This window comes from Homo sapiens, chromosome 16 (genome assembly GCF_000001405.40).
Source record: "Homo sapiens chromosome 16, GRCh38.p14 Primary Assembly".
Classification (NCBI taxonomy): Eukaryota; Metazoa; Chordata; class Mammalia; order Primates; family Hominidae; genus Homo; species Homo sapiens.
The window spans coordinates 73667295-73691415 of NC_000016.10; the positions used below are offsets into that span (position 1 = coordinate 73667295).

The window sequence follows — 24121 nt, forward strand, 5'->3', positions numbered from 1 at the left end:
TGCAACTATTTATCCATTCACTAGTTGAAGGACACCTGGACGGTTTCCAGGTTTTGGCGATTATGAGTAAAGCCACTGTAAATGTTAACATACGCTTTTGTGTGAACATAAGTTTTTATTTCTCTTGGGAAAATCCCTAGGAGTAGGTTGGCTGGATCAAATGATACATATATGTTTCAGTTTATTTTTAAGAACTACTAAACTGTTTTTCCAAAGTGGTTGTACCATTTTGTATTCCACCAGCATGTATGACAGTTTAGTTGCTTATTTGCCACAAGATAAAGACCTGCTAAGTAAGAATGAGTTAAAAATGCTCAAGAAGATACTGGTCCCTAATATTTGGAGCTATGAGAACATTTAAAAGAACTATACCAACAGGAAGGATAACAATCAGTAAAAGTTTAGCACTAAATTTAGTTGCACATAATATAGACTGAACCAACACATAATCTCATTTTGAGATTAAGGTGGGAACTTACTGGAGAAGCCACAAAACCTACTGCACTGAAGTTTTGCCATTATTGGACGGTAGCCTTGCTTGACTTGCACCATCTCATCTTCCCTCACTTCCACTTCCCTTGTCCAAATCGCAGGTTTCCTGAAGAACCAGTTCAAGTGCCACCTTCTCTTGAGCATTCTGGCCAATTAGCAATTTCTTTGAATTCCTACAGCACTTACAATTCCTCATTTAAAGCTTCATTACATATGCAATGGCTTGTGTTCTATTTATAACACATATTAACATATTCATGTTTCCTTCTTGAAAATGATAAGTCACCTCTACGAAGCTTGCCAAGAGAAGGGACTCATCTGGACCACCCTCTAAGCCAGTGCAGATCTATGTGTGCCAGACTATTTTTCGGCACAAGTGTCTATCATGGTCAAGAGAAAGGGAAATGTACTAGCCATTGTAAGTATCCAGGAAGACAAAGAAATGTACAACTCTAGAGTTCATTCATGTCTACCTAGACAGTAAATGCACATACCTCAAGCTGCTGATCTTTGTATTTTCTTTTTTTTTTTAATTATACTTTAAGTTCTGGGATACATGTGCAGAACGTGCAGGTTTGTTACATAGGTATACATGGGCCATGGTGGTTGGTTGCACCCATCAACCCATCATCGACATTAGGTATTTCTCCTAATGCTATCCCTCACCTAGCCCCCCACCCACTGACAGACCCCAGCGTGTGATATTCCCCTCCCTGTGTCTATGTGTTCTCATTGCTCAAATGCCACTTATAAGTGAGAACATGTGGTGTTTGGTTTTCTGTTCTTGTGTTAGTTTGCTGAGAATGATGGTTTCCAGCATCATCCATGTCCCTCCAAAGGACATAAACTCATCCTTTTTTTTTTTTTTGCAATCTATCCATCTGACAAAGGGCTAATATCCAGCATCTACAAAGAACTTAAACAAATTTACAAGAAAAAAACAACCCCATCAAAAAGTGGGCAAAGGATATGAACAGACACTTCTCAAAAGAAGACGCTTATGCAGCCAACAAACATATGAAGAAAAGCTCATCATCACTGGTCGTTAGAGAAATGTAAATCAAAACCACATCTCATGCCAGTTAGAATGGCAATTATTAAAAAGTCAGGAAACAACAGATGCTGGAGAGGATATGGAGAAATAGGAATACTTTTAAACTGTTGGTGGAGTATAAATTAGTTCAACCATTGTGGAAGACAGTGTGATCTTTGTATTTTCTTTTGTTTCTTTCTTTTTCTTTTCTATTTTTTTTTCTATTTATTATTTTTTTTCTTTTCTATTTTCTATTTTTTTTTAAGCTCTGTCGGCCAGGCTGGAGTGCAGTGGTGCGATCTGGGCTCACTGCAACCACTGCCTCCCGGGCTCAAGCAATTCTCCTGTCTCAGCCTTGCATGTAGCTGGGATTACAGGCATGTGCCACTACGCCCTGCTAATTTTTGTATTTTTAGTAGAGATGGGGTTTCACCATGTTGGCCAGGCTTGTCTCAAACTCCTGACCTCAGGTAATCCACCCGCCTTGGCCTCCCAAAGTGCTGGGATTACAGGCGTGAGCCACCATGCCCAGCTGATCTTTGTATTTTCTAATGTGGATCTGGTTTAACTGAATTCAACTGGAGAAACTCCCACGTGATCTCTAGATGACCTTCTAAAGGGAAGTAGAACACACCACCATATATTCCTGGCTGGTGCTCCTGTGTGACCAAAAGACTCAGGGAAGCTTGTAAGTTTTTAAGATAAAAAGGGGTATCCATGAAAAGAAGCCAACCACCTGAAAAGGGTTAGGAAAATCTAATAGGCAGAACTATTTCTGTGAATTAAAAGTCATGCAAAAATCTGAACATGAAGACCTGGAGGCCATGAAAGTGAAGAACACTCTTTATAGAGGCTTTGCCTGCTTTTTCTTTTCACTAGCTCTAGGATGTACAGAAACTGCTTTCACTTTAGTTTCAACTAAGCTTGTTTCCTGGTCTCTCAGATGCCAGCTCAGTGCTACTGAGACCGTGGCAGCATTATTGGGAAATGTCCTAGTCAAACCCCAAACAGCTTTGCTGGGGTATTTTTTTTAAATCTCAGAAAATCACCTTTTATACCTTTATTTAAAACTGATCTTGAGCTAAGCTGTTGTACTTGACTGTGTCCCTTTAACCTAGGGAACTCACTGCCAAAAAATATGATTGAGGCCAACAGCTTAATAAGTTTTATCGAAGATTAAACATTTATATGAATAAAAATAGCACCTGCAGCGACACCAGGAAGGATAAAATTACAAGGGCTATGAAATCTTCATGCTTCAGGGCATAAATTGCTTACCAGCTGGATAAGGTGGTTTCCCTCGCAGACCAACACTGCACTGCTAAATATGTTTTCCTGAGAAGTATCTCAATGCTGACCACTTCCAGGACCAAAGACTACAGCAGAAAGATCTTTACATTGTTGGTTTGCATCCAGCCCAAGTTTTTACAGAATTTAGAAAGTGTATGATACCACGCCAATCTAAAATCTGAAAATAATGATGCAAGAGAGAGGCCAACACCTCCATTCACAAGGAATAGGAGTAAAATGGGATAAAATTATAAAAGACGAAATGGCTCAGGAGGGAAGCAGTTCCTAACTTTGTTGGCCAATATGGATTATTTGCAGTAAAACACTCAGAGCTCCAAATCTGAAATCCAGTTAAGACAAAATTAGAAGAAAAGTCATCAATCGACTACTTTAAGCTTAATCTTTTTGTCTTTAGCGTTTTCCCAAAAGTAGAAATGTAGCATGAAGATTATCAGTAAGACCTTGGTCTTCTAACCTTGGTAGAGCAAAGACCATTATTTGACTGCAGGAAAAAACAATAGGGAAAACGTAATGAAATAAGGAGTAAAAACAGGAAAAACTAACAAAACATATGCACCAAATTTTTAGATGCTAGATTTTACTTCTCCCAGCACCAAACTATACTGTGACATTTGCAAATGACTCTTTTTTCCTTAAGGATTATGGGAATAATGGTAAATATCAATCAATCCATTTTATAAATGAAATATTCAACAAAGTAAAGAGTAGCATCCAGCCAGGCAAAGTATGCTAATAAGGTTAGCTTTTATTGAAAATTCACTTGAAGTTTGCAAGTTTAGATAACCCGATGTGCACAAACATTCTACAGTTACTAATATGACTTAATGTTCAGTTGCATAATTAGTTGGTTTCTCCAGAAGGATTATTTAAGAAACAGCTATGGGCTCCAGGAGGATGTTCTTTTTCAAAACAGTGTATGGAAGTGCATGATGGGTGGTCCTCACAATGACTACACGAACAAAGGACTCCTGTGGATTTTAATAACACTGATCCACTTATGAATCATAAATCAAATGGGAACCCTTTTGCAGTTCGCAGATTTCCAAGACTTCTGGGGAGAATACTCCAGCACAGCAGCGTGTTATTGACCAGGATTAACCACATTTGCTCACATTCTTTTAAAAATAGTGATTTGCATCCTTGGATGGGTGCTGGCAGGGACCAGCGAAAGAACAGCAACGGAAACAGGGAGGAAAGCGGAGCAAAGCCAGCATCAGTGGCCTTCGAGAATCCAGAGCTCTGCAAAGAGACGGCCGGAGCTGAGATGAGCAGAGAAACACAGGCAGATAAAGATGAACCATCACCACCTCAGCCAGAGAGACAAATACATGGTTGGTACCAACAGGAGCCTTTTCTGATTATTTTTAGAAAACCTTTAATTTAATGCATATTTTCTTTGCTGAAAAGGAAATAGTGATATTAACAAATTGGTTTTATTTCTAACCTGGCAGGGTGCCTGCAGTGAAATGTAAATACATGTACATGGGAGCTGGGATTAGCATTTACTGAAGAAAAGGAGTAGTCAATATTTTAATGAGGAAGTCTAAGAAAGCAATTGCATGAAACACACTCCGATGTCACAGGGGAGCTTTTTAAGTTAAGCCAACTAGTTCCAAATTACTACTTTTCCTGGCTTTCCTTGAAGGGGAGTTTAGACTTACTTAGGAAAAAATACAACTGTGGCATTTAGTTTTAAATATCATAAAATAGCTGTAATATTCCTCTCTATAAATACATACATTAACCTATATACATCTCTCTCATTATACATATAGAAAAAGCATGTCTCACTTGCCAATCTTCAGCTAAATGGCCCATTGAAGAGTGTCATCTTTCTGCTTTTTTTTTTCAAAAACAGAAATACCAGGCAAAGAAAATTGACACTACCCAAGAATGAGGGACAGATCTGAGGGGAAAAAAAATACATAAAAGGAAACACAGGTAACCAAAGCAAATAAAAATCAATGATAGTTTAAGGACAGAGTAGTGTATATAAGACAGATTCAGATAGCAGATCAAATCAATTAGAAAAACACCATCTATTATATAATCTTTACTCTGACACCCCTAGGAAGCATATTCCCATCTCAGAATCAGATTTCATCAACAACCAGGAAAAGAGAAAGGAACAAGATCGTTCTGGGAACAAGGCAAGATATACAAAACCAAAATATATCACCAATATTAACCCTTAAATGAAATCAAATGATCTGAAGATTTGAAGACTTCCGTGTTACCATTTCTGAACTCCAGGGGACCCAATAGGACTAACTACTTCAAAAACGCCATTACAACAGCATTTCCTATATTCTGATGAATGCTCTCAAGAACATTTCATGTCTGACAAATATTTAAGCATTTTTGGGCCTTATATTGGCCAAGTTGTACCTACCCTTCCAAACTCAGAGCCAACATCAAATAATAAAGAACAGAAATTAGTAATATAGAAACTGAGCATCATAAAAAATGATCATAAAAATCAAAAGTTATTATTTTTCGAAAGAATAATAAAATTGAAAAACACATGATGAGAGAATAATAAAAAGAGAAGGCACATAGGATCAACACTAAGGTTTTGTGGACATTAAAAGGATCAGAAGAAAGAGCATATGCTTTTTATACCTTATACTTTTATACATTTATAATTTTACACTTTTATGAATATGAGGAATCTGTATATCCAAAAGAAATTCTTACACATGAAAACTGGGAGAACTATACCCAAATATTCAAAGCGACATTATTTTTATTAGATAGATTGTTTTAAATTTAATTGATAGATTACAAAAACATGATACATTTACTCAAAGGCCTATTATACAGCAGTGGAAATGAATGAAATACAATTACTTGCAACAACATAAATGGATCTTGGAAACATCATATTGAGTGAAAATTTGTCACTCCCATCAGTCTACATTTGGTGTGACACAGTTTTTATAATACTCAAAAATTAGAAAGATCTAAACAACATATTGTTTAGTTCAAATTAATATATTAAATAAAACTGTTTTTCAAAAGGCAAGGGAACAGTGAACACACAGTATTCAAAATAGTGGTCCCCTCTAAGTGGGGAGGAGGATATCAAGATAAGAATAGGGAAGGGGCACACGGGTAGAGGCCACTGTCCCGCTAATTTTCCTACTTTTAAGCTGGGTCGTAAGTTATGGGTATTCATTTCATTATTATGCTGTGTAACCTACATATATATGACATAGTTTGTTTCATATGTATGAAATATTACTAATAAAAATAGTCCCCCCAAAATCATAAAATCACACACAGAGAGAAGATAGGAAAAGGCCTTATATTTATCCTGCTGTTAAAGGAACCTCATTCTCTTCCCCCTCCCAGGCTATCACCAAGAAGTAAGAGATTCCTTGGGCTCTCACAGTCTGCCACCCGAGATAAAAAAGCTAGCAGCTGTCTCAAGATTAGGCAAGAACTATTTCATGAGAAACTAGACTATTTTTCCACAAAAATATATCTACTGAGTTACCTGCCATCCATTCAGAAACACCAACCTTAGAAAAATTAAAGGAGGAAGAGGGTATGGCATTTGCCTGGAAAAGAGCCTCAAAATTGAAGTGCTGAGCTGGACTTGGGGCAGAACAGGGATAACAGCAGGGCAGGCTGGAACCTGAGTTTGTTATGTATTCCACCTGAATGGAGATTTAGACTATAGGGGCAGTGAAGCTCCATGAAAACTAGGAATTGATCTAGAACGTATGCACATCAATACACCCTCCAGATACAGATCCAGGAAGGAAATCTGACCACCACACAAGGAGACAGGTATGAGAGCAAACCCCTAAGTCAGGTGACGAACACCAAACAAAGCATCTGTGATTGGCTACTACACAAAAAGGAAACAAAAACATCTCCCAAACTCAGAGACAGATCATTGCCTCTGAAAATATACTTGAAGAAATCAGAAAATGTACTCAACTCTAATTCCTCGAAGGAAGGGGCCAAATCTTGTTTGCTATTGTGTTTCTAGTATGAAAGCAGTGCTTTGCACAAAATAAGCATGTGATGAATATTCTTAAATAGTTTTCATATACAGAAAAGTGTAAAATAGACGTCACTATAAAAGGCATAGAAAATTATAAAAAAATAGAATACAAAAAAGTAACAGAATGAAAAAAGAAAGATGAATGAGAAGAGAGGCTGTTCACAACCAAAAATGCATGGGCAGAATGCAAATCCACATTAAAGGCAGTAAATACAGAATGCTAAGGTAGAAAGTGCACAGTGTGACATTTCAGGAAGACTAAAAATCAATTGGAAGAGATCAAACACACTGTGTAAGCTTAGATTAAGTTTCAATTTAATTGGCCAAGAGGGCAACACAGTCAAGAATAGACAACACTCAGCATGAATTCCTTTGGTTTTCAGAGTCCCTAGTGGGAATGCAGTGAATTGTAAAGATGGCCTCACATTTGCCCCATTGCTGTATCCATGCCCTTGCAATAGGACATGACAGTTTCTCCAATTAAGACCTAGAGTCTCTTTCTCTACCTCTTGAATCTGGGTTGGTCAGGTGACTTCCTTTAACTAATGGAATCTAAGCCAAGTGACTAAATCAGTCTCGAAAAGTGCTTATATGTTGACATTTGCCCTATCTTGCTGCTTTAGAAACCCTCAGATATGTGGCTCCAACACCAGACATGTGCAGGAGGCTATCAGGAAAAAAACAGCCCCAGTTGACTTCTCAGCTGACTATAACCACAGGAATGACACATATGTCACATGTGAGACTTACAGAAGAACTGCCCAGCTGAACCCAGCCCAAATTACTGGCCTACAGCACCATGCATGTCCTAATAAATGATTGCTGTTATAAGCTGCTACATTTGGTGGTTTGTAATGCAGTAAAGCTCATGGACACAGAAGCAAGCCAGCTGTCAGTGATACTCTGCCCAAGAGGAAGCTTTGGGTCTGAGCTCAGTTCCAGCCCCAACACCTCCTCCTTATACTTGAAAGTAAGCATTCCTTGCAAAGAATTTGAACTAGTTATATGTTAAGAGGGAATGTTTCAGACTTGTGAGACTTTCCTGGTTCTCAAGCAAAGACAGTATTAAAGCCATATTCTCACAAGGCATGGGAGGGGGACCAGGGAAGCAGAGTCACAGCCCAAGTACCCTCTAAGCAGTATCTTAGCCTTCAGTTTTATGGTTAATTAGAGAGCTCATTTCCCAAAACCTCCCTAAATAGAAGAAAAAAATGTAAGATAAAAATTATCAGTGAAGAAAGACACATATAAAATCAGACATGGGGTTTATCTTACATTCATTCATTCATTTGTTCATTCATCTATCCATTACAAATGGATTTACTGAGGTTCTAGAATGTGTTGGGCTCTGTATCTATATACCCCAGTAAAGTGCTGTGAATGAAACTGATAGGATTTCCCTATCAGTTTCACTGCCTTTATAGAACTTATTGTTTTAGCATCTTAGATTACTGCGGTTCCTGAAAAGAAGAATAGGATAAATGGAACCAAGTGAATAACTTAAGCTAAAACAGATGAAAATACTTATCAACTGAAAAAGTTCCATGTAACAGATAAAAAGAATGACCATTATCAAGGCAAACTCATACCTGGATCTGGCCAAAAATTCTGAGTTACACAAAAATAAAGTCTCACAAATATCTAGGCATAGAAAAAAACAATACACATACACGCACGCACATATGCACACACACTGACACAGCCTTCAATTATCTAAAAAAAAATCAGCCTTGCCTCAGATATGAAAATTAATACAACAAAATTACAAAATTTTGAGGGGAAATGGTACAACTCAAGAATTGCACATCTAAACAAAGAATTTAAAAAATCCACACAAATGTGTGAACTCAGAAAACGTACCAACCATCCATCTTTCTTGAAAAATTATCTAAAGGCATACTCAAACTCACTAAGAGATTTAAAAATAACTAAGAACTCAAAAATAATAAGGAAAAAGTATAAGAATCATATCGAGAACAGTGAAACCAATTAAACATAACAATAACTAATTATAGCAAAAATTTTAAAAGCTAAGTAGAAATTATAAACTGTTTTCTATTATTTTTGACTATAAATTATTTTTGAAAAATAAACATATGCATTAAGACTAATGATTTTTATTAAATAACACTTTTTCTAAAACCTGAGGTTATAAACAAAGACCAAGATACAGGGCTGGAGAGAGCAATGGAATGTATGTTGCAGGGTGGGGGAGATGAGAAGTATGCTAAACTCTTCCATTTAAATAAAAGACATAATGACTTTTTTCCCCTTAAATTTGACAGTTGGAGATATAGAGATTAAATAATGGTTTTGAGAAATTAGATCCAAAAAAATTGAATACCAACATATACTTCATAAAATACTAACAAAGAACCATACAGTCTATATGCCCAAAGACAGAGAACGAAAAATAATAAAAGACACCCAGAGAATCAAAAAGAAAATATAAAGAAAGCAATAAGGCTAATATTTTATTTATAACAATGTACGTAAATGGCTTAAATTTCCCTGTGAGAAGACAAAGACTAGAAGACTGAGTCACAACACCAAATCCAATTATGTATCAATTAGAAGAAATACACCTAAGACAAACAAGTACAGAAAGGATGAGTAAAAAGACGAGTGAACATACACTAAAGAGATACAAATAAAAAAAAGAGTTTTAATATTAGTATTAGAGAAATAAAAATGCAAGGCAAAACACAAGAAGTGGGCAAAGACAGACTTTATATTAAGGGAATACAATTCAACACAAATATGCAATATTCATGTGTCAAATAACGCAACACTGACTCTCAGAATGAGAATATCTCTAGAAGTAAAAGTTAAAGAATAGTAAGACCAACTTCATAAAGGACTTTAACATTCCTCACAGTTGGTCAAAGAAGACCAAAGGATACAGTGGAGCTTTATAATTAGTTAATTCTCTATCTTAAGGAAAATAGCCTTCATTTCCAGTGACCATGGATTCTTTTCCAAAGATGTTTATACATACTATCCCCAAAATATGTCAACAAAATTTAAGTAAAAATCATCACAGGTATATTTTAGGAGGCAATTAAATAAAACTGTAAATTAATAATAACATGATGTCATAAAATCAACCACTTTAAAATTTAAAATTACTCTTATAAAAGAATTTTGGATCTTAGAGGCTATCAGAATATCACTTTAGGTTATTAAACAATGGATAAAGTAAGAATATAACAGCAAAAGTTATATGATGCAGCTAAGCTAAAAATCATAGCAAAGTTCATAGTTTTAAATATTTTTATTAATAAACAACAACAACAACAAAAAATGAATTAACTAAGCATGCAACTTTAAAAGCTAGTAGGAAAACAGAACAACTGGAAATAGTAAACTTTAGACCTGGCTCTTCCACACTACCTTTGGCATAGCTAATCACAAAAAAAGATATATTAAGAATAAGAAAAGTGATTTAACAATAGATTTCTAGAATTATTTTAACTATAACAATATTTTGTTTGCATCTATAAAAATAAATTTAAATGAACTGATATTTCAACAGGAAAATATAAATCATCAAACTTGATTCAAATAGAAATAGAAAACAACCTGAACAGGTCAATTAATCTTGAAAGAAAATTAGAGGCTTCAAACAACTTCTCCTCCTAAACAAAGATGGCACAAAAAAATAATTATACTAGTATATAATATGCAGAAACCCTAAATAAAATACTCTTGTGACTTAGGGAGGTTTATTTCTGGTACATAAGGATGAATTCATGTTAGAAAATTTACCCATAAATAGAGACACTCTATGTCCTCCAATGGAATGACTCAATATTACACAGATACCAGTCTACTCCAATAATTTATAAATATAATCCAGTCATTGTCAAAACCCAACAGGGAAAAACAAATGCAAAAGTAAAGAAAATTTTGTAAGAGAAGAACAGAGACAAGTTTGGCATTACCAAATATACACCAAAATTACTGAAATCACATAAACATTACAGTAGTGATACAGGAAATTATTTATATTAGCAAAATCAGAAAAAAACTAAATGTTCATTTTTCGATAACAGGAATGAGTAAAACTTTTCTGTGTTACACGCATGTGTGAACAGCATGCAGTGAGTAAAAGTCACACTGTAGAAGACCATTGGGAGATGTTCAAGCCCTATTGGTTATTGGGAATGAAAGTGTAAAAGAAGTGCATCGGATAATTTTTTCAAAGAGTATATTCTAATTACAGTGGGTAAAAATACCTTAAAGAATATATACAAAATGTAAACAATGGCTATTTCTCCATAATGGCATAAAATGATTTCCAATTTTGCTACTTAGGCTCTTCAGTATTTTCCAAATTTTTCAGAACAAAAATGTTGATATTGTTTTCATAAAAATACTATTTTATAAAGGTCAAGTCTTCTAAAATCTGGTATTGCATTAATTCAAGTACACTTATACAACATTGAAATTTATTTAAAATATATGTAACAGAAACCTGAGCTATGTGCCAATGGCAAGTGTCTGGATATGACTCACCAAAAAAACTGCTATATGTCTGAAGGAAATATTAAAACAAATAGCCCAGCACCACAGTGATTACACAGAACTGTATATATTCGCTCTGTGCACTGGACAGGAGTTTTTCATTTCATACATCATTTACAGCTTGCTTCAGTGATTCTGCAAAATCAGTCCATACCATTAGCACACACCAAGAGAAACACCCGATGTTCTCGTTGTTGGAAAATTCAAGTGTTTTGGGCTCTGATGTGCATCAAAGTGCTATCTATGCAGATGCGGTTCTGCTAACGAGGATCACAACACCAGATGACCAAGAATCACCAACAGGGATCAAATATCTAGGGTCAAGCACATCGACTTCTGAAAATCTATAGTCCAAGCCTGGCTCGTGCTCATAGGTATACTTAATTTTAAAAACTACTTGAAGTAAATGAAAACAAAATGGTGAAAGTCATAAGTCAATCCCTCCAGAGGGGCTTATTTTTTTTTTTAATGGAAACCAGCTCTCATTTCCAAAATATTTTATCAAGGCATTTGATACCAAGCATCTAGTCTACTCAACACTTCATCAAAATGAACGTCTCATGCATTCACCACTGTACCCAAGTCCCTGCTCTTTTTTAACAATGTCGCCATTTTCAAATCAGAGCATTGAAAAGTATATTTCTATGGCCATACAAAAATATGCCTTGTATATTTCAGGCCAGTGAGAAAGATGTTTTTGCTAGACAACGGAATGCTCCTAGGATTAAAAGCATTTTGTGAACACTTTCTTCCTATGGGGACAGCAAAGAGGCTCCGGAACAGCAAATGGTAACTTGGTTCTGCGTCCAACAAAACTTGACATTCAAACTCTTCTCTTTTTTTTACCTTCTTTTCTCTTATGTAAAACAAAAACAAAAACAAAAAACTCATAGTACAATTTTCTGGTGAGTGAATTTGCCATATCGTCTTCTACCTACAGCCACAGAAATGAATTCCAACAAACAACATTCTATTTTACTATTCTGTGGATTTCCTTACTATTGTATCTCATTCATTTGTAGAACAATCAGAATCCAGAGTTGTGCTGAGTTTCAACTAGGAATGCAACTATGAGCCATCATGTGGTACTTTACCAAGACCAGCAGCTGTACATTAAGCACTGAAATTATCAAAGCTCATGACTTACACAGCCAGCACCTCCCGTAGCAATCGTTCTGCTGTGGACTACCCACCAACAAAATCTTTAGCAACAGGATTCATTTTTTCCAGACCAAATATTAAGTAGTAACGACAACACCTCAATGTGCAGAGGATATCAGAGCTGTGATGAGCCAAGTCAAATTCATGCCAGAAAGATACATAGGCATTTTGAAAGTAAAGCCATTAACGCGTAAGTTCCTCATTTTTATGTGCTACATTTTCCAAATCATCACATCTCAGAAATTACCTGAAATCAACCTTTAACTACATCGAATGAAACAGAGCACTCTGAAGAAAAGTCCATGGATAACTTTTAGACCAAACAAATTGGAACGCTTCTACATACCAAAGTAAAATTTCTTCGACTTATTCTTCTTTTGGTTTCAGAATTCAAAAAGTCCAGAAGCCTGTAAATATGAAAAAAAAAAGTTTAAGGAAAAGATCTAGAAAAATATCAATCAAAATGATCAAAGGCAATTGAAAATGGTAACGTGTGTGCTTGGCTAAAAATAAGGCACATTCTGAGTGGAAAGTTGCTAAAAAATGTTCAAAGCCATGGAGGTCACGGCTCGAATGAATGTTGACTGTTTCAGCTCATCTCAAAACAGAAGCACTGTTTCCAATTGCAAAGAAAGCCTGTGCTCTCCCCTTCCAAGAAAGTGGTAGAAGATGGCAATGGAAAACCATTTCACATTAACCAATACATTTTTAATATTAACCGGTTACATTTTAATTTATCACTAAACACTATTTAGGAAATGACTGAAAGGAATTTGGGATTTTCTCATCAGTCTGCATCTGGGAAAGGTACAAAGAAAGTGACAGGAAATTTCTCCCAAAATAATTAGACAGAGGTCCTAAGTTGAGGATGAAACTGAATGGTGGGTGTATATCATGGAATTCGTCTTATCCTAATATGAAAGTTTTATATAAAAATGGTGAATCTTAAACTATATCTTTTTGGCAAATGATTTGGATTTAATTGTACCTTTGCTTCATCTGTGCGTGTGAGTGGGGTAAGTGCCTTAGATATTGTGTGGAAACCATTATTCATATATAATTACTAGCTTCCAGTGAGCAGGATCACACAGAGTATACGGGAAAGATACTATATGCAAAGCCTGAATGCCAAGGAAGAAATTAAAAGTCCAGAAATCTAGCAAGAATAGCACCAGCACAAACTGATTAGAAAGATTTTAGTTATTTTATACAATGTTAGACCACCTCTCAGTGGATGTCTGGTCTTGTGGGAGAGAATAACCTATTATTTATTATTTAAGTAAAAAAGTGAAAGTTGAGGTGGTCAAAAATGACAGAAGATGGTTGCATGCATAAGCATCTTGCTATTATTTCCAGACTATAATGGCTAAACAAATTAAGGCAACATGGGAGAGAAAGGCATTTTAATAGGTGACAATTGTTTTTAGAAGAGTGATAAATAGTGATTGATCCAATTACTGGTTACTCTACAAGCCAGATTTAAGAATGATCGTCCAAAGCGAAGGCAGAAGTGTCTCTCCAAGTGAATGCAGCAGGCATAGAGTAAATTTTGAAAGTAAAAGGTGAACCTTAAAAGAATTCTTATTAAAATTATAGTTATCGGAAACATGGGAAGATTACGATGAGAAAGGGCAGGGCTAATCCAAAATGGGGAGAAAGCCGAGAGATAAAGAATGAAATTTCATTCGAATAGTCATGAGTCTAGAGCACGTTGAGGTTTGGGCTTCTGGTTAGCGTTTCTAAGCCATTCTAGCAAGGGAAGCACCTTGCTAACGGCTAAGTCTGGCAAGGCTTAGGATCATCTAACATACATTCCCTAAGATAGGAGTTGCCCAAAGACAGGCACCTGATCCTGTTCTCCGGACTTAATATCCTGTGCTTCCATGTGCAAACTGCATTCAAAATTATGGTTTTTACAGTATTTTGTAAGCATATGCATTGTTGCTAGAAAATCTGAAAACTATAACAATGGAAGGGTAGGCTTGCATTTCTTCCTAAGATAAGCCCCTGCTTAGAAAATGTAATCATATCTATGTATTAGTGACTTCCTCTATTTGTAATCATCAATTTTAAATTTCCAATAAATACGATTCCCCAAAGAGGGTATCTAATAAATAGGGATAATGATATATACCTATCTAGCTATGAGGATCAAGTGAGCTCACGTACATAAAGCCCTTAACGGAATGTCTGACGCATAATGGATGCTTAACAAATAAAGGCTGATATTACATACAGAAAACTGCCACAGCAAAGCAGTAGTGTACTTATTTAGAACTTAGGCTCTGAAGTCAGGCAATCTGGCTTTGAAAATCATTTGCCATTGCTCTTATGAGGATAAAATAAGGTAATATTTGGAAATTGTTTAGCAGAGTGCCACTCTACTAATTAATTCAAAATAAATGTAGTTTGCCATGCTCAATTATCATTATCCTGAAATCTTTGTATTTATTCTATTAAAATTATATATATTTTGACAATAAAATACATTTTCTTATATAAAAATTAGGGGTTTTAATCATAAGGCACATGGGAATGTTGTTTTGGAGAAAGATTACTCAAAATGAAGTAAGAAGAAAATTCAAATCCACGTCCCTTGAAATGGTCAAGAATGTCACCATCTAGACAAACCATAATGCATCTATTGCACACTGATCTAAAAGAAAGGTAGGCCGGGTGCGGTGGCTCACGCCTGTAATCCCAGCAGTTTCGGAAGCCGAGGTGGGTGGATCACCTGAGGTCAAGAGTTTGAGACCAGCCTGGCCAACATGGTGAAACCCCGTCTCTACTAAAAATACAAAAAATGAGCCGGTCATGGTGGCATGCACCTGTAATCCCAGCTACTCGGGAGGCTGAGGCAGGAGAATCACCTGAACCCAGGAGGTGGAGGTTGCAGTGAGCTGAGATCCCACCACTGCACTCCAGCCTGGGCAACAAGAGTGAAACTTCATTTCAAAAGAAAGAAAGAAAGAAAGAAAGAGAGAAAGAGAAAAGGAGAGAGAGAGAGAAAAAAAGAAAGAGAAAGAAAGAAAGAAAGAAAGAAAGAAAGAAAGAAAGAAAGAAAGAAAGAAAGAGAAAGAAAGAGAGAAAGAGAAAGAAAGAAAGAAAGAAAGAAAGAAAGAAAGAAAGAAAGAAAGAAAGAAAGAAAGAAAGAAAGAAAAGAAAGAAAGAAAGAAAGAGAAAGGAGGGAGGGAGGGAGAAGGAAGGAAATAACAATTGCATGATTTTTGAAGATAGACTATACATCAGATATTTCCAACATTTTTACTCTTACACATGCCTTTTATTATACTTTTGTCTAGTAAAGAAATGGTGTTTGTTAAAATGTAGTTCTATTTAAAAACCATCAGCGATGTATATAATGGGTGAATGTACAACTACCACAAGTCTTGTGAAATAGTAGACTAGCTCAAAGCCCGTTCACTTCCCTCTGAGATTTAGAGGTTGAGTGAAAGAGAGCAGGGTGTATGTGTGTTGGCCAGAGGAGGGGGCAGTCAGGTTGGTAACTACTGATAAATAAAATTAATCAGAGCCTTAAGCCACGAGATAACCTTTTATAAATATGTAGACATAGTCTGTCTTAATAAACATTGTATTTTAAGTGACTGTGATTAGGTCCACACTGTCTCAAATCCCCTGGATAATTTTCCAACCCTCTATAAAAGCCAAAACCTAAAAGTGACAAAAGACCTAACCATGCGACATGTTTTGGGATTTTTTTTTTTAAGACAGAGTTTCTCTCTTGTTGCCAAGGCTGGAGTGCAATGGTGTGATCTCGGCTCACTGCAACCTCTGCCTCCTGGACTCAAGTGATTCTCCTGCCTCAGCCTCCTGAGTAGCGGGGATTACATGTTTCAGGGATTTTAGGTGACCCATCATCTCCCTTTGCAGCAAAAGACAGCAGCAGCCATTAAGCCTCAGAGTTGAAACTGAGTGCAACTCTGGATTCTCATTGTTCTAGAAATGAATGAGATACACAGTAAGGAAATCCACAGAATAGTATAATAGAATGTTATTTGTTGTTCAGAGAAGGGTCATAAACTTCTTCTGTAAAGGGCCATGTAGTAATATTTCTTGTTTGTGGGCCACATATACAGTCTGTGCCAAACTACTCAACTCTGTGCTTGTAGAAGGAAAGCAGTAGCTGTGTTCCAATAAAACTTTATTTACAAAAACATTGCCAGGCACAGTGGCTCATGCTCATAATCCCAGTACTTTGGGAAGCCAAGGCCAGAGGACAGCTTGAGCCCAGGAGCTTGACACTAGCCTGGGCAGCGTAGCAAGACCCTGTCTCTACACATAACTTAAAAAGTAGCTGAGTGAGGTGGTGGGTACCTGTAGTCCCAGCTACTCGAGAGGCTAAGATAAGAGGATCTCTTGAGCCCAGGAGGTCAAGGGAATCCAGACTTAATCTATGCATTGTAGTTTTCCAATTCCTGCTCTAGGGGTCCATTATTAATATGATTACTTTGATTATATTTTGATATGGCATGTGTGTGTGTTTGTGTGTGTGTGTGTGTGTATGTGTGTAATGACATGAACTTTAGGAGCGAATTAGACTATAGGAAATAAAGGAAAATTGGGATAAAAAAATAAGATGAAGTCCTGTACAATTGCTAGATAACTCTGAGCATCCTAGAAGCCAAATCAAAAAGAGGAATGTGCATATTGGATTAAGGTAGGTAGAATAATGGCTTCCCAAACATACCCATATCCTACTGCTCAAAACCCACAAATATGTTGGGTTACATGGCAAAGAGGATTTAAGGTTGCAGATGGAATTAAGATTGCAAATCAGCTGACCTCAAAATAAAGAGATTATCCCAGATTATCTGCATGTGCCCCTGCAATCACAAGGGTCCTTTTTTTTTTTTTTTTTTTTTTGGAGATGGAGTCTTGCTCTGTCACCCAGGCTGAAGTGCAGTGGCATGATCTCAGCTTACTACAACCTCCACCTCCTGGGTTCAAGCAATTCTCCTGCTTCAGCCTCCTGAGTAGCTGGGATTACAGGCACGCACCACCACACCTGGCTAATTTTTGTCTTTTTAGTAGAGACAGGATTTCACTATGTTGGTCAGGCTGGTCTTGAACTCCTGACCTCATGATCCGCCCACCTCAGCCTCCCAAAGTGCTGGGATTACAGGCGTGAGCCACTGTGCCAGGCCCAACAAGGGTCATTTTATTTATTATTATTTTTTTTGAGACAGAGTCTCACTCTGTCGCCAGGCTGGAGTCCAGTGGCCCAACCTCGGCTCACTGCAACCTCTGCCTTCCAGGTTCAAGTGATTCCCTTGCCTCAGCCTCCCGAGTAGCTGGGACTACAGTTGCATGCCACCACGCCCCTGGCTAATTTTCTTGTATTTTGCTAGAGACAGGGTTTCACCGTGTTGGCCCAGATGGTCTTGATCTCCTGACCTCGTGATCCGCCCCCCTCAGCCTCCCAACGTGCTGGGATTACAGGCGTGAGCCACCACGCTCAGCCCACAAGGGTCTTTTAAAAATGTAAGAGGGAGGCAGAAGAGGGAGAACCAGAGTTGGAATCATGATGAAGATAGACAGGTTATTACTGGCTTTGAAGACTGAAGCAGGCCATGAGCCAAGGAATACAGGCAGCCTCTAAAAGCTGGAAAAGGTGAGAAGGCGAATTCCCCCTTGCAGCTTCCAGAAAGGATCACAGCCCTGCCAACCTCTTTATTGTAGCCCAATGAGACCCTTCTCAGATTTCTGACAGCCAGAATGGTAAGATGATAGATTTGTGTTGTTTTAAGCCACCAAGTTTGCGGTAGCATGCATCAGCAACCATAGGAATCTATTATATCAGTTCATAACATAGAGTAGAAATTTCTTTGTGGGTCTTTATAATGAGCCTATTATGTAATAATCAACAAAATGCCCACAATGATTCTAATGGCAAGTTTCCTGTACCTCTTCCCTAAAACAACCCTTGAGCAGGCTGAGAGCAAACAGCAAATCACAGAAGAGCAAATGCTCTTTTATGAGCACCCGACAATGTGAGATCCAGATAGGCTGTTCTCTAAGAGTCTGGCTTAATGTGAGAATAAAATGTGGAATATCTAGATCAACATTCTCGGAAGTGTGGGATGTTATTCTGTTTCAGGAGAAAAAGAAATGTGTTCATGTATGTGTAGGAAAAGGCTTAAGCAAAATTAAACAGTTGTCTTTATGTTGAACTTCTCCGAATCTTCAACATGCTTATGTGAATTTCCAAGAGGGTAATAGTATATTCAGACATTTCTTATTTATTTATTTATTTATTTATTTGAGATTGAGTCTCACTGTTGCCCAGGCTGGAGTGCAGTGGCGTGATCTCGGCTCACTACAACCTCCACCTCCCGGGTTCAAGCAGTTCCCTGCCTCAGCCTCCTGAGTAGCTGGGATTACAGGTGCCCACCACCACACCTGGCTAATTTTTTGTATTTTTAGTAGAGACAGGGTTTCACCATATTGTTCAGGCTGGTCTTGAATTCCAGACCTCGTGATCCACCCACCTCGGCCTCCCAAAGTGCTGGGATAAGGCGTGAGCCACCACGCCTGGTCATATTCAGACATTTCTAACTATGAGTGCTTTTCTTTTTCCTGAAGTATCATGAGTTGGGTGTCTTGCATAACACGTTTTGCAAAACTTGGACCTATAGTCATGAAAAAACTCAACTGACCCTTCGGGAATTCTTGCATGTTCTCTGAATGTTAAGGAAACTCATGCTCAGAGAAGTCAAGAGGTTGGTCTCTGGAGCTGCCCAGAGTGATGAGTCCATAATTGTCTCAGCCTCTTATCCATGATCCAAGCACGCAGGCTGTATTCCCTCTGGTAAGGGTGGGCTCCAGGGTTTCCCCTCAACAGACTGAACCCATTGTACTAACTATAAAAGCAGTCAGGCCTAGACTTGTGTGAGACCCACTAGAATAGCTACTCAGTTTGTAGCACATGTTTCTGGATTGAAACCTTATCTAGGAGAGTTATAAAGTTTACAGACTAAGCTTAAAGGAAAGGAGCATAACACAGCCAAGTTGTTTGGGGTGCACTGGTCTTGGTTCACCCTGTATTCACCACCCTTGCCAGAATGGAACCCTTTTTTGTACACCTTCCAGAGAGACAGAGCTTAACCGGTAGCACCACCATTTAGAAGGAGAGAGAATATATATATATTTGCAGCTAAATATATATATATATATATATATATATATATATATATATATATATATATATATATTTGCAGCTTTAAGTCTTATTTTTTATTTTAAAACATTTCCAGGCCAGTTGCAGTGGCTTACAACTGTAATCCCAACAGTATGGGAGGCAGAGGTGGGCAGATTGCTTGAGCTCAGGAGTTTGAGACCAGCCTGGGCAACATGGTAAAACCCCATCTCTAAAAAAAAAAGTACAAAAATTAGCTGTGAATGGTGGCACACACCTGTAGTTCCAGCTACTGGGGAGGCTTAGGTGGAAGGATCACTTGAGCTTGGGAGGTGGAGGCTGCAGTGAGCACCACCGCACACCAGCCTGGGTGACAGAGAGAGACCCTGTCTCAAAAAAAAAAAAAGTTTCCAAACGATGGGTCATTTATTACTAGATAAATTTATCCTGTGTTGTTACATGTGGAGAAATAAAAGCTAAGCTACAAAGTGGCCCCACAGTGCATCTTCTGTTGGTGTACATCAGAAAGGGAAATGCCATCATTAGCATCCTCTTAAGATTTAGTAACTATTGACCGGGTGCGGTGGCTCACATCTGTAATCCCAGCACTTTGGGAGGCCAAGGCAGGTGGATCACGAGGTCAAGAGATCGAGACCATCCTGACCAACATAGTGAAACCCCGTCTCTGCTAAAAATACAAAAATTAGCCAGGCATGGTGGCACATGCACATGCCTGTAGTCCCAGCTACTCAGGAGACTGGGGCAGGAGAATCTCTTGAACCCAGGAGGCAGAGGTTGCAGTGAGCCGAGATTGTGCCACTGCACTCCAAACTGGTGACAGAGCAAGACTCTGTCTCAAAAAAAAAAAAAAAAAAAAAAACAGATTTAGTAGCTATTAATATTGACAGTCACTGTGCTCTTTACCCCAAAATTTCCATAATACTTGTAATTTTATCTTTAAGACAATAATTTTTTTTCCAACGTAAGACGCAAATTCACTATAGAGCAGGCACATTTCAGTGGACATGGGACATTATGGCTGCTATGGTCTGAATGTTTGTGTCTCCCCAAAATTCACATCTTGAGCCTGGGCACAGTGGCTCATGCCTGTAATCCCAGCACTTTGGGAGGCTGAGGCAGGTGGATCACCTGAGGTCAGAAGTTCAAGATTAGCCTGGCCAACATGGTGAAACCCCGTCTCTACTAAAAATACGAAAATTAACCAGGCATAGTGGCACATGCCTGTAATCTCAGCTACTCAGGAGGCTGAGGCAGGAGAATCACTTGAACCCGGGAGGCAGAGGTTGCAGTGAGCTGAGATCACACTGCTGCACTCCAGCCTGGGTGACAGAGTGAGACTCCATCTCAAAAAAAAAAAAAAAAAAATTGTATCTTGAAATTTAATCCCCATGCAAGTATTAAGAGGTGGAGCCATTGAGAGGTGATTAGGTCATGAGGGACACCCCCAGGAATGGAATTAGCACCCTCATAAAAGAGACCCCAGAGAGCTGCCTTGCCCATCCCACCATGTAAGGACACAGTGCAAAGGCGCCCTGTATGAAGCAGAAAGCAGGCCCTCAACAGACACTGCATCTGCTGGTGCCTGGATCTTGGACTTCCCAGACCCTAAAACTGTAAGCAACACATTTCTGTTGATTAGAAGTTACCCAGTGTAAGGTATTTTTTCATAGCAGCCCTGATATGGTTTGGCTGTGTCCCCACCCAAATCTCATCTTGAATTGCAGCCCCCATAATTCCCACATGTTGTGGGAGGGACCAGGTGGGAGATAATTGAATCATGGGGGCGGGTCGTTCCCATGCTATTCTCATGACAGTGAGTAAGTCTCATGAGAGCTGATGGTTTTATAAAGGGGAGCTTCCCTGCACCATTTCTCTCCTCTTGTCTGCCGCCAAGTGAGATGTGCCTTTCACCTTCCACCATGATTGTGAGGCCTCCCCAGCCATGTGGAACTGTGAGTCCATTAAGCCTCTTTCTTTTGTGAATTGCCTGGTCTTGGGTATGTCTTTATCAGCAGCGTGAAAACAGACTAATACAAGCCCAAACAAACACAATGGCCAAACAAAACTTACTGGGTTTAATGCAAACCAACCCATTTTAAATGATCCAATAAATACTTGCCAAAGGATTGATACTGATTGAACTTAAATTCTCTTGATAATCTTGTACGTCTTTCAATTCAAAATATCAAAATAAGATCTAGTTACGTGAAACCTCTAAAGTTCTATGTCACTATCAGGGACACTGCTATGATTTCACATTATGCTCTGGGGACAGGGGGGTTTTAGGAAGCCCCCAAATTTCTAAATTCATCCAAGACATCCCAGAGAAGTAGCCACATGGTCCCTCAGGTGAACTTCCTGGAGTCATTGATTTTGCATCATGCCTGAGCTATGTGCACAAAGTAAAGAGGGGTGACAGGGGCTGTAAAAGCTACATTTTCTGATCCAGCAAGTGAAGGAGCAGCCCAGGCTCCATTCAGGTGCTTCCTTTGCTGTGGGAAAAATTAGACCTCTGTTCCCATCTTCCTCTTGCCCCTCCCCCCACTCATTCCACATCTAAACAGCTGCCTGACTTAGAGGGAGGGCTAAGGGAATGTGAAGTCAGAGAGGGAAGGGTTGGTGCAGCATGGCAGGTCCATGAGAAGGCCATATAGGCAGTTCTATGTTACAAGTCAGATGGAATAAATGAAATTTTTGAAAGTTTCCTGGGGTTATTAATTTTCTTAAGAAACCATGGAAAACACGACTATCAGGTTTCATTAGCAAAGCTTACCCAGCTCTGAGGACATACAGTTTTTTGTTTTTTGTTTTTTTTGTTGTTGTTGTTTTTTTGAGATGGAGTCTCGCTCTGTCGCCCAGGCTGGAGTGCAGTGGTGCACGCTCACTGCAACCTCCGCCTCCCAGGTTCAAGCAACTCTCTTGCCTCAGCCTCCTGAGTAGCATCACCCAGGCTGGAGTGCAGTGGCGCGATCTCGGCTCACCGCAACCTCCACCTCCCTGGTTTAAGCAATTGCCCTGCCTCAGCCTCCTGAGTAGCTGGGATTACAGGTGCACACCACACGTCTGGCTAATTTTTTTGTACTTTTAGTAGAGATGGGGTTTCACCATGTTGGCCAGACTGATCTCGAACTCCTGACCTCAGACAATCCTCCCACCTCGGCCTCCCAAAGTGCTGGGATTACACGTGGACATACACTATTTAAGAAGCACAAACAAGGTTTTACATCCATCCCAAGAATCCCAAACTAGATTTGCAGACTCAGATCTGTTCGTATCTTAGCATCCATGTACGGGGCCTATGCATTCAGGCTTCTGTGATTACCAGCTAACATGGTATGGTCCCCTAGGAATCTGCTTGAAGCAGCTAGGTAAGAAGAAAATTTCAAATCAATTTTGGGCCACATGCAATCCTGAGCTGCACACTCCTCAAAAACTTTTCAAGGAATTGCTTTACACCTTGCAAACATGAACTTGAAACTATCTTTCACACTGTGGCAATTGTTTACAAAGACTGCTGCAAAGTTTCCTCCCATCCCTTCATGCACTCCCTTTGCAATGTGACTCTGCAGCTTCCTGATCAAGAAGTAGTGTCTATTTCTTCACCCCTTGAATCTGGGCATGACCATGCAACTTACTTTAGCAAACGTGATGCAATTCGAAGCTTGAAAATAAATTGTGCATTGTGAGTTTTCCTCTTTTGGCTGCTGTGGGAATCCTGAAGACTTGATGTGAATAAGCCCTGCTAAATACTGGAAGACAAGTGGCCCAGCCAACAGCCATCCCTAGTGCCAGACAAATGAGGGAGGTTACCTTACACCATCTGCTCGCACTCCACCCATCCAGCCCCAGCTGATACCAATAGCACTGCCCAGACAATTCCAGCCCAAATCTGGTGAACAAATTAAAGGGTGATTGTTTTGAGCCTCTATGGTTTGGAGTAGTTTGTTATTCATCAACAGATAAGAGACACACAGACCAATTTTTCCACCTGCATAAGACTGGACACTGTAAAAGTAAAAGGACAAAAGGAACTGTTGTCCATAAGCAATTAAACATTTCTCTCTAGCTCATCAACATAGATTACACAGGGTCTCTTGGTTATTAACAACAAATTGGAGTGAGCTCTTGCTGCTGCCGCTATTCTTGTTATATAAGTTCGCCAATCAAAACAAGTGTTTTCTAAAGACAGTCCTGGTGGTATTATTTTCTACCATTTTCTAGGAACTAGCCTAAAAAAATCTTCTAAATCAGCAAACCTCCAGAAGCCGCACACTCTTCCTCTACAACGGAATAAAAAGCTTAAGATTTGGCAAAAAGAAAAAAACAAGATTATAGTACTGCTATCAAAATATTGACTGAAGGAACTCAAAGAGCTTCAACACTGCTGTCCATGAAAGAGTAATAT

At 38.6% G+C, this 24121-nt stretch overlaps 1 protein-coding gene across 1 annotated transcript in view; it reads right to left on the reverse strand.

Moving 5' to 3' along the window:
* Positions 1-24121, reverse strand: part of ZFHX3 (zinc finger homeobox 3) — a 1109046-nt gene that overhangs the window by 884410 nt on the left and 200515 nt on the right. The window contains exon 2 of the mRNA NM_001386735.1: positions 12886-12946. The gene's annotated coding sequence lies outside the window, so the exon portion shown is untranslated. The remainder of the gene's footprint in view (positions 1-12885; positions 12947-24121) is intronic.